The 14,615-nt window shown below is 46.0% G+C and overlaps 1 protein-coding gene and 1 non-coding gene across 27 annotated transcripts in view, besides 1 other annotated feature; both read right to left on the reverse strand.

Annotated features, from left to right (window-relative positions):
• LARGE1 (LARGE xylosyl- and glucuronyltransferase 1) overlaps positions 1 to 14,615 on the reverse strand; it is an 856,162-nt gene that overhangs the window by 367,879 nt on the left and 473,668 nt on the right. The gene's annotated exons all lie outside the window — the stretch shown is intronic.
• On the reverse strand, positions 2,041 to 2,128 carry MIR4764 (microRNA 4764). The gene has a single exon (NR_039921.1). It is a non-coding gene; the product is annotated as a microRNA 4764 (primary transcript).
• Positions 3,307 to 4,506: an enhancer, noted in NCBI's record as "MED14-independent group 3 enhancer chr22:33833834-33835033 (GRCh37/hg19 assembly coordinates)". NCBI's record gives its function as "activates an origin of replication core promoter dependent on BRD2, BRD4, P300/CBP and CDK7 cofactors, and independent of MED14, by STARR-seq in HCT116 cells {active_cell/tissue: HCT116}" and the evidence as "EXISTENCE:reporter gene assay evidence [ECO:0000049][PMID:35650434]".

A 14,615-nucleotide genomic window follows, 5' to 3' on the forward strand; every position in this document is an offset into this window, starting at 1 on the left:
GCCTGCCTCGGCCTCCCAAAGTGCTGGGATTACAAGCGTGAGCCACTGCGCCCAGCCTGGGAAGGATCTTTTATTGAATTTAGGGGGTCCATCTAAATTTCAGGTAAGGTCATCTTCAGATATCTGAAAGGCCAAATTTTATATGGTGGCATCCCATACATTTTATTTTGCCTGTTTACTTCTTCAGACAAATACTCTACGAGCTACACTTTATTCCTGCCAAACAAAAATATTTTGTTGCCTGTGGTCTAATTTCTACCTTGCTCATATAGCTCTCCCTTGGCAGGCATTGCCCTTGCCCCCCCTGCCAATCCCCACCCACAATCCTTTCAAGGTCCATCTCCAGCATGAAGCCTTTTATGAATAAGCCCAAGTCTGAACTATTACTTTATCTTCATTCCCATATTAGATGGAAGACATCACTATTTAGTACTTCCTACTGTTTTTTGTTTGTTTGTTTGCTTTGTTTTGTTTTTTGAGATGGAGTCTTGCTCTGTCGCCCAGGCTGGAGTGCAAATGGCGCCATCTCGGCTCACTGCAACCTTCGCCTCCCGAGTTAAAGCGATTCTCCTGCCTCAGCCTCCTGAGTAGCTGGGATTACAGACACCTGCCACCATGTCTGGCTAATTTTTGTATTTTTAGCAGAGACAGGGTTTCGCCATGTTGACCAGGCTGATCTCGAACTCCTAACCTCAGGCGATCCTCCCACCGCAGCCTCCCAAAGTGCTAGGATTACAGGCGTGAGCCACCATGCCTGGCTCCTACGGGTATTTTGCCAGCAGCTGACTTACACTCCATAAAAGATGAAGTTGGCAATATTCAGGCACCCACAGACCTCATTTATAAATAACCACTTCCTGCATTATTCCAAGGGCAAGATACTACAAGGTGTAGTACTGAACACACAGTAGGTGCTTAATAAATGTCTGCTAAATAAATGACATCTAGTGGGTTAACCTTCCTGATCGGGTGTGTGTTAGTGTCCTCATAAATCATTTCACCCTCTCTGTAGTCACCAATATTAACAGACCTTCCACCCAGCTCTGGGAACTCAGGCACCCGCTCCCCTGTATGGAAAACTGCAAAGATGGGGAGGCAGCACCCACTTGGGGTGCTCTACATAAGGCTTAAACTCAAGGTCTTCATCTCCAGAGAAGGAATGATTTTCATGGTTAACCTAAAGTCACGTTATCCCAAAGAATAATATCCAAATTGCTCTTCATTCAGTTTGTACCTGGGCTGCATTGCTTTTGATAGTACCACTTAACCCTCTCAGGCACGCCAATCCTCTTAAAAAATTCCTTAATTAGCAACATGATAGTTAGAACTTTAATATCCATTGGTGAGAAAAAAACAGAATAATCAGCAGCTACTGAGACTTCATTTTGCTTTTTAAAAGAAATTCATTAGCTGCCATATCAATGATCAAAACAGTAGTAAGGGTAAGCGATGTTGCTTAGCCTCTCAACGGTGTTGAGTTTTGCTTTCAGGCTGTGCCTTCCCAGCTTCTGTGTGAAGAGGGAACCATGAACATCAATATAGTTGGAGATAAAGAGTGTGGACTGAACTCAGGCTGCCTGGTTCCGGTTCCTAGCCCTGCCACCTTCTAGCTGCGTAGCCGTGAAAAAAATTGCTTAACCTATCTCTGCCTTGGTATCTAACTCTTACAGCTGCTGTGACTTCACATGCTGGAATGACTTCATACATGTTAAGTTCTTAGAACAGAAGCTGGAACTCTAAGCACTGTACATATGATAGTCACTGCCTATCCTAACCCGAAAGCCCCTGATAGACAGCAAGCTTATCCATGAGGTTTTCTTTGGAGGTCATCCAGCACAACCATTAGGCCATTCTCGAACTCTGCCTCTCTAAGTGTGGTCTGAGGACTATCTGTTTCAGAAACCCCTGAGATTCTTGCTAAAAGCACAGGCTCCTGGGCTTCATTCAACCTAGAAGTTAGTTATTAGTGGGAGGATGCTTTCCCCTACTTCTCCGGTTTCTAGAAGGAGGGATTTCTTGACACCTTGAGCCGATCTTTTCTCTTCCCCATGGGTGTGAAAGGAGTTAACTGACTGGTGACAGTTATCTGACTGGTGACAGATAACTCCTTCCACATCCATGGGGAAGAGAAAGGTGAGTTTCAGAGGCAACCAAGTTGATGTGGCCTAGCCTCTTCCTCTGTCCCTTCTTCCAGGAGCCAGCATGCCAACAGATAGCCTGCATCGAATCTGTTCTTTCACGCTGTTAAATTTTATAGAGCAGACCTCCTCTGTGAGGCTGTGGTTGTCTAGTACTTCTTGGGATAGCTGAGCAATTCCAACTCTGGGTTTTGGTGCTAGGAAGAGCCATTGTAGATACTGAAGGACTCTAAAGTTGAGTCCTCCAATTTCACCTTTATCAGTAAAATAAGGTGACATCTGGCTCTCCCTCCTTTATCTCTAAGTTGGTTCAATATTGGCAGGGGCGGGGGTGGTGCATATGGGGAAATAATATATTAATTCCCTCACTCCACAATATTTCTGCATAAGAATTCTGGCCACGGGGTCTAGTAATTTGCATTGAAATAAACCAACTCCCCAGGTAATTCAGATGCACATTAAAGTTTGAGAATTACTGATTGGAGTTTGGAAGCTCCGTTACTGCTTTAGTCAAGGGTAAATTTCACCTGCAGGGTGACTGGCACATAATAAACTCACATGGTGTCTACATTCACCTCATAAACCAGTAGAATTCATTGGTAGTCTCCAATGCCATACTTCCTGAGTACAGTAAAGTGGTGAAGAAAATGAACACCAGAGCCAGACGCCTGGGCTCAAATCCTGGCTCTTCCACTTACTAGCTATGTGACCCTGGACAAGGTACTTAGCCTCTCTGTGCTTGCTTCTTCATTCACTTGTAAAATAGAGATAGTAAGTAACATACCTAATTTTTTTTTTCCTCTAAGCACAAGTTAATTTGTGAAAATGATGCTGTGTTTTGTGCTTATTCAAACATTACCACTAAAAGCGTCGATGAAATAGTAAAGCGTTCAGTAAGCATTTGCTCTTATGGAAGCACCCAGAACTCCCTGGTCCTACACTCTGCTCCATCTGCCTGGACCTCCAGCTCAGCCATCTCCTCCTGTCCTTAGCTGACATGGCCCTTAGTTTGCTGAGACGTTGGTTCAGCTTAGTATCGATTGAGGGTTTGAGTTGTGTCAGACACCACACAAAATACTAAGGAATGAAAGACAAAAAAAACATAGTTCTTGCCCTGGGGGCAGCTAGAAGAGGAGACAGATAAACAATTTTGAAGCAGCATGATATTAGCAGTGACAGGGCGATATTAGCAAGATGGGGGAATAATAAGTAGGGAGTAATTGATTCTGTGGGGGTAAGTGGGTGATACCTGCTAGACAAGTTGGATGTCTCCCTTCCCACCGAGTCACCTACCACATCCCTTCCAGCACTGCAGCCAGGCCTCCCCAAAAGCTTTTCCAATAAGGGTTCTGTCGGGTAACACCCTTCTAGGAGAGAAGTCCCCTCTGCTACCAGGTGACAGCATGGATGATACAGGTGATCTGTGACAGTTCCAGCAATCCCAGCCCATCATCCAGGTGGCATCTAAATCCTGGTCTCCAGAGGCCCAAGTCTACAGCTGTAACCTTGATGGTGCAAACACATCTTCAGCTTGCCATCGTGTGAAGAGGTAAAATCCCAGGGGATTCCTTGGGGGAGATGACACAGGTGGCTACAGGGTGCTGGCTTGCTCAGCATTCTGCACTGCCTGTCTCGTCTTCTTGGGAGTTATTGTAATAAAACACTGTGACTCACAGAAAACGCTTTGTCATTGTTTTCCAAGCTGGGCCTGTGGTTATGATTAAGTGCGCTGTTCTCCATCTTCCTTAGTCTAGGCACAAGTTAACTTATGAAAATGAAGCTGTCTTCTTTGCTTATTCATACATCACTACTAACAGTCAGACAAGAGCGAACAAGCTTGCTTTTCTGCTGGGGCCCTGGTGTTGGTGTCACCAGCCAGCAGATGGATGGCTCTACGCAGGGAACTCTCCTCTCTTCTTCCTTCTGCAGGTTTTGGCTCAAGGCCCGGCTCCTGCTGCTCGGGAGGTGAGAACCAAGGAGCAGAGAACTACAATTCTTCCACACAGTGCATCTGGCATGAAAAGGCTGAGCTGAGCATTCGTCCATTGGGTATAAAGAAGGCAGCATGATAAATCAGGAAGACAAAGGATTTTAAAACTTGGCAAAACAGGATTCTAGCCCCACCTGTGTATGATTTGACCAAGGTATAGCTTCTCTGAGCCTTGAGTTTCCTTATCATAAAAGGTTAAGTATAAAATCTATCTCTGACCTCTAAGAATGGATATTGAGATCAGATTAAGATGATACAAGGCCGGGCGCGGTGGCTCACACCTGTAATCCCAGCACTTTGGGAGGCCAAGGTGGGTGGATCACTTGAAGTCAGGAGTTCAAGACCAGCCTGGCCAACATAGTGAAACCCCCGCCTCTACTAAAAATACAAAAAAATTAGCTGGGTGTGGTGGCATGCACCTGTAATCCCAGCTACTTGGGAGGCTAAGGCATGAGAATCGCTTGAACTTGGGAGGCGGAGGCTGCAGTGAACCGAGACTGCGCCACTGCACTCCAGTCTAGGTGACAGAGTGAGACTCCATCTCAAAAAAAAAAAAAAAAGGATGACAGATGTAAAGTGCTGGCTCATGGGAGATGCTCAACTAAAGGCACTTCTCTTCCTCCCTTTTGGGATGACCAGTGTTCATAATGTCTAGGTTTTCCTACCCAAGTGCTGACATTTAGGTGCATAGACTGGACTCTGCAAAATTTGGCTACATTACCCCTCACCCCATCCCTGCTGTCTCTCACCCCACTCCACCTTTCTGAAGCCTTTAGCGTCGGCGACATCTGTCCCTTCGCTGATGTACTCCCTCTGAACATCCTTCCCCTACCTCCTCCATGGAGCTTCCCTCTCTCTGCCACCCTTAACATGCTGGTGCTCCCCAACTCCCCTTCTTGGCCCCCTTTTGTTACTCTCTATTTTATCCACAGATGATGGGATCTACTCCGGTGGCTTCAGACACTATTGACTGGAAGATGATCACCAATCTCCATGTTAACTCAGACTTCTTTCCAAAGTGCCCTACTCTTCAATCTATGTATCAGCCCACCATCTTCTTAGGTGATTTGGCTGTTCCACAATGACTTTCAACGCAAGCTGACCAAAACTAACTCCACAATCTTCTCCTCCTACAAAATAGGTGTGACCCCTACCTGTTTTCTTGGTTGGTAGCATGAAGATCAAACTTGTCACCACAGCTAGAAGCCTTTTACTCAATCTTGAACCCTCCTGCTCCTCATTCCTCACATCCTTGCCATGCCCAAATCCCACAGATTTTATCTATGGAGTGTTTCTCAAATTCATCCCTTCCCTTGCTCTACCATGCTCTCCTCCTCTCTCTCTCTCCTGGATTAGCAGATTTGTACCTGATCACTTTTTCCTCAGGGTAGCCCTGTGCCATTCCATTCTGCCTACCTAGCCACAGAAATGTTTTGAAAGCACAAATTTGATGATTCTGCTTCCTTGATTAAAAAGCTTAAGTGCTCTAGGGGCCCATTATACTGCAGGTGTGTGGATGAATGGATGAATGAATGGGTGAATAAATAAAAAATATACATTATCCACAACCCACCATCTTAGCCCATCTGGAATTGGTAAATTCTATCTGAATGGAGTGGAAGTAGATGCGTACTAGTTAACTTCTCCAGGTAAACACCAGGAACAGGTGGCTCTAGCTGTGATCTGCAGGATGCTTTCAGTGCTATCTCCTTTTTTCCACCCCCAGAAAAGCTCCTGGGCACACAGAGGAAGTCTGCCAATCACTGCTGCTGATCAAACCGGCTGTGCTTATACCACTAGGTGAATATTAAAATGTTAAAACCAGAGGCTGCCCTGACTGTCAGCAGAGAACCTAATAGTGCTCTCCCAACCTCATATTTATTCTAATAAGCTATTTTAAAATAGAAAAGCATTTAATAGCACCATTCAATGTGTGTCTGAGTGCAGGATGTCTGTAAGTAGGAAAACATATAATATCATATTACCGTTTACTAAACCTCCTGAAAGAGCTGCTACACAGCCCCAGGTGTTCCTGGCTAGTCAATGTAGAATAAGAAAACATTTCCTGAGAAGATGCACACAGAACGATATTTAAACAACCCCGAATAGACTGAAAAGGAGAATTTCTGAACCTGTGTGTTTCACAGCTCCTACTTTGCAGTTCAGCTCCAGCTCAAAGCACCCTAGGATCACAGACAGTCAGATGAACTGTGATGGTCTTAATGACTTCTCTGGAACCATCTACTACTGCACATGAAGACTGCCAAGGGCGAGCGGTGTTTATAGAAACACGCAGTCAATGGAAGAGCCAGGAGCCAAAACCAAAACTCTGGCTTGAAGTTCCTTTTTTTGTTTTTTTTTCCTATGTGTCTCAAACTCAGCTGCTGCTATTTTGTTTGAACTTTTTTTTTTTTTTTTTTTTGAGAGGGAGTTTTGCTCTTGTCTCTGAGGCTGGAGTGCAATGGTACAATCTTGGCTCACTGCAACCTCCACTTCCCAGTTCAAGCGATTCTCCTGTCTCAGCCTCCCGAGTAGCTGGGATTACAGGTGCTTGCCGCCATGCCCAGCTAATTTTTGTATTTTTAGTAGAGACGAGATTTCATCATGTTGGCCAGGCTAGTCTCGAACTCCTGACCTCAGGTGATCCGCCCACCTCGGCCTCCCAAAGTGCTGGGATTACAGACATGAGCCACCACAGCCAGCCTCTTTGAACTTTAATATAATTCTCCACCTGGTTTAAGTTCTAGCTCTTCTATATTTAATAGGTAATCTCTCTCTTTCTCTCTCTCTCTGTTTAATAAAGAGACAGGGTCTCACTATGTCACCCAGACTGGAATGCAGTGGCACAATCATGGCTCAGCGCAGCCTTGAACTCCTGGGCTCAAGCTATCCTCCTGCCCCAGCCTCCTGAGCAGCTACGGGACTACAGGTGTATGCCACCACATCCAGCTAACTTTAAATTTTTTTTTGTAGACATGGGGGTCTCGCTATGTCGCCCAGGCTGGTCTTGAACTCTTGGCCTCAGATGATCCTCCCACCTCAGCTTCCCATAGTGCTGGCATGCACCACCACACCCAGCTCATAGGTAATATCGAGTAAACTCTCAGTTCTTCATTTTTCTCATGTGTAAAATGGTATCTATTTCATAGGGCTTCACTGGGACTCTTAATCAGGTTTGGGGAGCCCAGGTTTATATTGCATGTCCTTCAGATGCGATCTATGTACTCCAATTCATTGCCACTCATTTTGATTGCTTGGGTTTCAGTTTCTTGATGAAGCACCTCTAACCCAGTTTATTCATCACTCAGCCCTCCTTTCACTTGGAAAAAATACTCCACCCTTACTGAACTATGGCTCAGGGATAATCCCTTCTGAGAGCAAACAGAATCTGTGTCACTCTTGAAAGAAGAGTTAGGCTGAATAAGTGAAGATGAGAGGAAGAAAGACGTTGCTTATTATAAGCAAGACCATAACTAGCCATCAGTTAATCAAAACAGAAATGAGCTCCCTTTCTAGGGAGAAGCTTCCGATCACCGGAATGGTTCTGGAAGAGGCTGCATGATTCAGCCCTCATCCAGCAGGTATTTATGGAGCCCCAACTCTGCACCAGGATCTGTGCTAACTGCTACAGACACAGCAGGGAAGAAAACAGGCACGCTCTTGGCCCTTCTGAATTTTATCTTTACAAAGAGCTTCTCAAACGGTCCAGCTACCATTTGCCAGGCTCTGCCTCAAATCTCACGGATGCAGCTACTCGCAGGCTGAGCCCTGGGAATTTCTTTTTCAACAGTGGCCCCCATTAATTCTGATACAGGGTAGGTTTGGGGACCTCTGAAAGGGGGTGGTCACCTACCAGGCATGCTGTGGGAAGGGGGATTTCTGTACTGCGCAGAAGACTAGGTTTGAAGACCTCAAAGCTGCCTTCCAACCTGATTGGGAGCTCTCTTTATGCTATGTCAGTGATGAGTTTTCTCAACATTCTCATCAAGAACATCCCCATACTTGTTCTTCTTTTACTTGTGCTGTCCATATGTGTATGGACAGCTGCCCTATGAGCAGAGTCAGTTTTTCTCAGTGCTGCTCCCTCTAGTTAGTACTTGGTCCAGGCACTGGGATACTGATAGCTTTTTTTTTTTTTTTTGAGATGGAGTCTCGCTCTGCCGCCCAGGCTGGAGTGCAGTGGCACTATCTCCGCTCACTGCAAGCTCCGCCTCCCGGGTTCACGCCATTCTCCTGCCTCAGCCTCCCGAGTAGCTGGGACTACAGGCGCCCGCACCACATCCGGCTAATTTTTTGTATTTTTTAGTAGAGACAGGTTTTCACCGTGTTAGCCAGGATGGTCTCGATCTCTTGACCTCATGATCCGCCCTCCTCGGCCTCCCAAAGTGTTGGGATTACAGACGTGAGCCACTGCACCCAGCCATTGATTGCTTTCTATGCATCATCAAAGAGATACAATGACACCACGAGGTGGGCAGTGTACTTATTTCTACCTTTCAGAAGGGAAATTGAGGTTTAGAGAGATAAAGTCACATGTCAAGGTCAAGAAATCTCAGAGTAGGGGATTGCATTCCCACCTCTCAGTTACAAAAGCCCATGTTTTCACACCTACACTTATGGTTAGAAACATCTGCAAAGCATTTCTCTCCCCAAGGGAATGGCTACAGCGGGCATCACCATGGGGTAGACTCTAAAGGGCACAGAGAGGAAGGGGAGAAAGGGTGGTCGAAGTGCATGCCCAGCCCACCTGCTCCTGTCTGCACTGCCACCTGGGGTTGCAGGCAGGAGCCCAGGCCCCTCTGCAGAACCCTCTGGTGCCCACTGGGATGCTCTGAGTTTAATTTCTTTCAGTGTTAATCCTAGTACATTGAGCTGAGAGGACATCCTACCCAGGGCACCTCGGGAGCATAGAGAAGGAAGGCCCAAGATGCAGAAAAGGGTATCCAGTCCAATAAAGGTCCAGATAATGATTTCTTCTGCCAAGATCCAAGAACAAGTCCACCCTCCCCAACCCCCAAGATATCCCCAGCAGGCCCACATTAACTTAATTTACAGTTTAAGACTTCAGTTCAATCTGAAATAATGATTTTTCTCTTCTTCCTTCCGTGATCTTTGGTCTTTGGAAATGGGAAAAACTAAAAAAGGAACACAGAGCTGCTAGGCTCTCTTCCAAGGCTGCTTTTATAACACTGACTCCCAGGACGCATGGCTGCCGCCACCTCTCAGACGAGGCCTCCACGAGGCGGCAGAGCTGGCCTCAGCCCAGCTACAACCTCCATCCATGGAAATTTTGGATTTGTCTTTTTTAAAAAACAGAATTTGTTGGCATCTTTTAGATACTTCACTCACAGATATTCCTTTGACTTACTATTATTAGTGTCTAGGAGAAATTGTTTAATTTGTTAATTTCTCCAGAATGCTGCAAAGCGGGGTTGTAGAATAAGCACTTCTGTGTAGGATAAGGCCAACATTTAAGTTCTGGCTTTTTCAATTATTAACTGTGCCACCTGGGTCAAATGACTCAATTTCCAAACTTTAATTTTTATTTTTTTAACAGTGGATAACAGTAAAACTCATCCTACTTCTATCATAACACTGTTTTGACTGTAAAATGAATTGTTAAATTGTAAAATAACTGTCCAATTTTGATTAAGTATTATCACTATTACCAAAAATTTCTGGGTTTTAAGTAGTTACTGCTTAATTTTTTTCCCCTTATAGTATTCCTTTCTTCTTTTTTGAGATGGAGTCTTGCTCTGTCATCCAGGCTGGAGTGCAGTGGCATGATCTCGGCTCACTCAGAACAGCTACTGATGAGAGAGGCCCTCCTTGCATGGCGAAGTGGTCAGGAAACTTAAGCACAAAATCTCTTTCTATTCTTAAGCCTGATCCTTGGGCAGATTATAAAGATGTAGTAATTCTTGTTGAATGAGGAAGAATGTGGATGAAATTCAAGCCAGGACTTACTAAAAGGATAAAGGTATGCTGGCTTGGCATCATTTGGTATAAGGTTAATGAAAGGCGTATTTCAAAGGTCTCTGTCAACATCATGAGATAAGTTATTCATCTATTCAACAAATATTCATTGCATCTATATCAGAATCAGAGTCTAGCAACAAGCAGGGCTGAGGCGGTCCCTTCCCTCAGTGGAGCTTACAGTTTTATTTTTTGAGACGGTGAGACGTTGTCTTGTTCTGTCACCTAGGCTGGAGTGCAGTGGCGCGATCTCGACTCACTGCAACCTCCGCCTCCCAGGTTCAAGCGATTCTCCTGCCTCAACCTCCCAAGTAGCTGGGATTACAGGCGCGTACCACCATGCACGGCTCATTTTTGTATTTTTGGTAGAGACGCGGTTTCGCCATGTCAGTCAGGCTGGTCTTGAACTCCTGACCTCAGGTGATCCGCCCGCCACGGCCTCCCAAAGTGCTGGGATTACAGGTGTGAGCCGCTGTGCCCCGCCACCTCCTCTTCTTACAAGGGCACCAGTCTTCTGGGATTAGGGCCTATCTTCATGTCTTAGCTTTACCTTAATCACCTCCTTCAAGGTCCCATCTCAAAATATGGTCACATTGTGAGGTGACAAGGGGTCAGGGCTCCCACATATGAATTTTGGGGGACTGAATTCAGCTGATAAAACAGGACGAGGTCCACTAAACAGTCACACCAACAATTGTGGAACTGTGACTCAGAAATGGCTGAGATAGAGAGGTCCAGAATGCTGAAAGGTGGGAAGTTAGCCAAAAAGGTTGCTGATGAAATAAGGATTTAATAGACATCTGAAGGAAATCGGGAAGGGAGGAAGAAGGCAGGAGGAAGAGCGTTAAGACCTCAGAGCAGGAAGCTTGACAAGGATGAGTAAAGTGGTATCTCAGAAAAATACTTGGTCTTTGTCCCTCCTTGATCACTGAGACAGAGCTCTTAAGCCCCTTGGAATTTCCTGGGTGACAGGGGCAACACCTTTTGTTCTAAGGGGGCCACTTTTTTTTTTTTTTTTTTGAGACAAGAGTTTCACTTTTGTCACCCAGGCTGGAGCACAATGGCGGGATCTCGGCTCACTGCAACCTCCACCTCCCGGATTCAAGCAATTCTCCTGTCTCAGCCTCCTGAGTAGCTGGGATTATAGGCGCCTGCCACCATGCTCGGCTACTTTTTGTATTTTTAATAGAGATGGACTTTCACCATATTGGCCAGGCTGGTCTCGAACTCCTGGCCTCAGGTGATTCATGTGCCTCAGCCTCCTAAAGTGCTGGGATTACAGGCGTGAGCCACTGCACCCGGCCCTAAGGGGGCCACTCTTACTAGGCCCCTAGAGAGCTTCAGAATAGGGGCTGGCTGACAGAAGTAACAAGGCAGAATTAGAGGGTTGGATCTTTGAACTTCACCCTCAACCTGCAGGGAGGCGGCAGTGGCTGGAGACTGAATTGATCACCAATCATTACTGACTTAGTCAACATGCCTATGTAATGAAACCAACATTAAAATCCCTAAATGATAGGGCTCAGAGAGCTACTGGGTAGAAACACATCCAGGTCTGGGAGGATGGTATGTCTGGAAAAGGTATGGGGGCTCCACGCCCTGCCCCCATAGCTCACATCTCTTCCATATGGCTGTTCCTGGGCTGTATCCTTTATAACAAACCTGCAACAGAAAGTAAAACACTTTCCTAAGCTCTGTATCCTTCTAAGAAATTATGGAACCTGAGGTGAGTGCTATGGAAACCTCTGACTTTGCAGCCTGGGGCCCCACTATGTGTGGCTGGCGTCTGAAGTGATGGTGGTTTTGTGGGATGGAGCTCTTAAGCCCGTGCAGCCTGACACTAATTCTGGGTAGTTAGGGTCAGAAGTGAATTGAATTGAATTGCAGGACACTTAGTGGGTATCTGCACAGAATCTGATCATTGCTTTGTATCAGGAGGGAAAAAACACCTCTGCAGGGACTCAAGGTCAATGTGGCTGAGACAAATAGATGGAGGAGCAGATGGCGAGGGAGACGAGGCTGAAGCCAGGAGGGCTGGTCTGGGGGCCTTGTGGTCAAGGCCAGAGTAAGGGGATTTCTCCACGAAGGACAAGCAGGGGGAACCACTGAAGGGAACAGGCGGGCAGGACCATCCTGCTGTATGACACCAGGGCACCATCTGCACAGAGGCAACGTGAACAGTGTCCCTTGGAGTTGAGTGACACGGCAGTGTTGAGACTAGGTGCTGATGTGGTCAGAATTGTGGGTTTTGTTTGTTTGTGTTTTTGAGACAGAGTCTTGCTCTGTCACCCAGGCTGGAATTCAGTGGCACCATCTCGGTTCACTGCAATCTCTGCCTCCCGGATTCAAGTGATTCTCCTGCCTCAGCCTCCCATGTAGTTGGAACTACAGGCACGCCACACTGCAATCAGCTAATTTTTGTATTTTTAGTAGAGACAGGGTTTCACCATGGTGGCCAGGCTGGTCTTGAACTCCTGACCTCAGGTGATCCACCCGTCTTGGCCTCCCAAAGTGCTGGGATTATAAGGCATGAGCCACTGCACCTGGCCCAGAATTGTGTTTTGAAGAGAACATCCTTGCCACTATGTGGAGTAGGATCAGGAATGATTTGAGCAGGTGGAAATCAAGCATTTACTTTTCATTCTTTCTTTTAGAGATATTCCATGATGGATACACAAGCATGGAGATGAGGGGAGAGGTAAGGGCTGGAGACACAAATCATGGTCAGCAACATCTTCTGAGGGGCCTGTGTACAGGTGACATGCAGGGGCCGAGGGCCAAACCAGGAGCCGGGAGGTGAGAGTGCTTGTCTCCCCTGTGATCCACATAAGGGCTTGAGCCCGGAAGGAAGGGGCACAGTGGGCTCTGCAGCTCTGGTAACCCCAGCACGTCCCAATGCACAGCCTCCTAGCACTCTCTTCCTGCTTGCTGAATAGAATTGTTACAAAGGCAACACTTTGGCTTGTGTTAGGAGCCAATCTGGCTCTGCCAAAGAGGCGGTGAAGGTGAATTCAAGAAATTACTATGGTGTATGTCTTGGGGATGAAGAAGAAGTGCTTCTGGGCGTGGGGTAAGTCCCTCGGGAGCAGGTGGGCTGCACCACTGACACAAAGGCAGGTGCAGCACAGGGAGGAGGAGGAAGGACAGGCTGGGGAGAGTGGGTGGAAGGAGGAAGGGCTCAGCTAAGTATACTCATGCACACTCTGGAGCTGGTGTGTGGAAAGGAATGGAGTAATAACAACACATTCAGCCATAAAAAGGAGCACAGTACTAACAGATGCTGCCACCTGGATGAACCTTGGAAACCTTATGTCAAGGGAAAGATGCCAGACACAAAATGTCACATATTGCATGACTAAGTCAGTATATATCACATTTCACGTGATATATTCGGAATAGCCAAATTCACGGAGACAGAGAGCAGATTAGTGGTCAATGGGGGACAGGGAGAGGGGGGTGTGGAATGATTATTTGGTGGGTTCGCGGTGTTTTCCTGGGGTGATAAAGACATCTTGAAACTAGAGACATCAAGTGGTTGCACAACGTTGTGAAAACACTAAATGCCACTGGATTGCACCCTTTAAAACTGTTAACTACATGGAAGTATGTGAATTTCACCTCCATAGAAAATTATGATGAGGGTAACGTGAAAGTAATACTTGGAGGGAATGTGTATGTCAAGTAGCTTGATTTGGTCATTCCACAATGTACACAAATATCAAAACATCGGCTTATATACCTTAGTATATACAATTTTATTTGTTAATTAAACAATAAATTAAGAAAAGAAAGTATTACTTGGTATATGTCGGTAATATTCTCACATAGTTTATCCTATTTAATCTTCACCACAAATGCTGGGGCTCCAGGACACAGTCTTCAGAGCTCTGCTGCTCTCTGTCCAGCCCTGTGGTCTTGCTTGTCCCCTCTGGGCCAATGATCAGCTCAGCATCTCAGACTTTAAGGTGTCCCAGATCAAACTCTTGTTTTTTCCCCTCACACCTGCTCTTCCCTCAGCCTTCCCCATGTCAGTCAATGGCAATCCATTCTCTCCCTTAAGCCAGAAAACTGTGGAGTCAGCCTCCCTGCCTCCCCAACTTTATTGAAGTACCGTACAACTCAATGAATTCACCCATTTTAAGTGCAGTTCAGCAAATGTTAGTAACTGGGTGCAGTCATGGGTAGTGCACCACGACCATCAAGATACAGAACTGTTCCAAGGACCTGAAGTCTTCTTGTGCTCTTTTTGGGTCCATCCACTTCCCCACACACCCGCTCCAGGCAACCACTGATTTTCGTTCTGTCACTGCAGTTGAGCTTATTCTAGAATTTCATAAAAATAGAATTATAATCTTATAGCACGTAGTTTTTCCTGTTTGACTTCTTGTACTTGGCATGATGCTTTTGAAATCCATCCAAGTGTTATGTGTATTAATACTGCCTTCCTTTTTACTGCTGAGTGGTATTTCCAAGTATGGATATACCATAATTTGAGTGGAATCAAGACTTCT

This window comes from Homo sapiens, chromosome 22, assembly GCF_000001405.40.
Source record: "Homo sapiens chromosome 22, GRCh38.p14 Primary Assembly".
Lineage (NCBI taxonomy): Eukaryota > Metazoa > Chordata > Mammalia > Primates > Hominidae > Homo > Homo sapiens.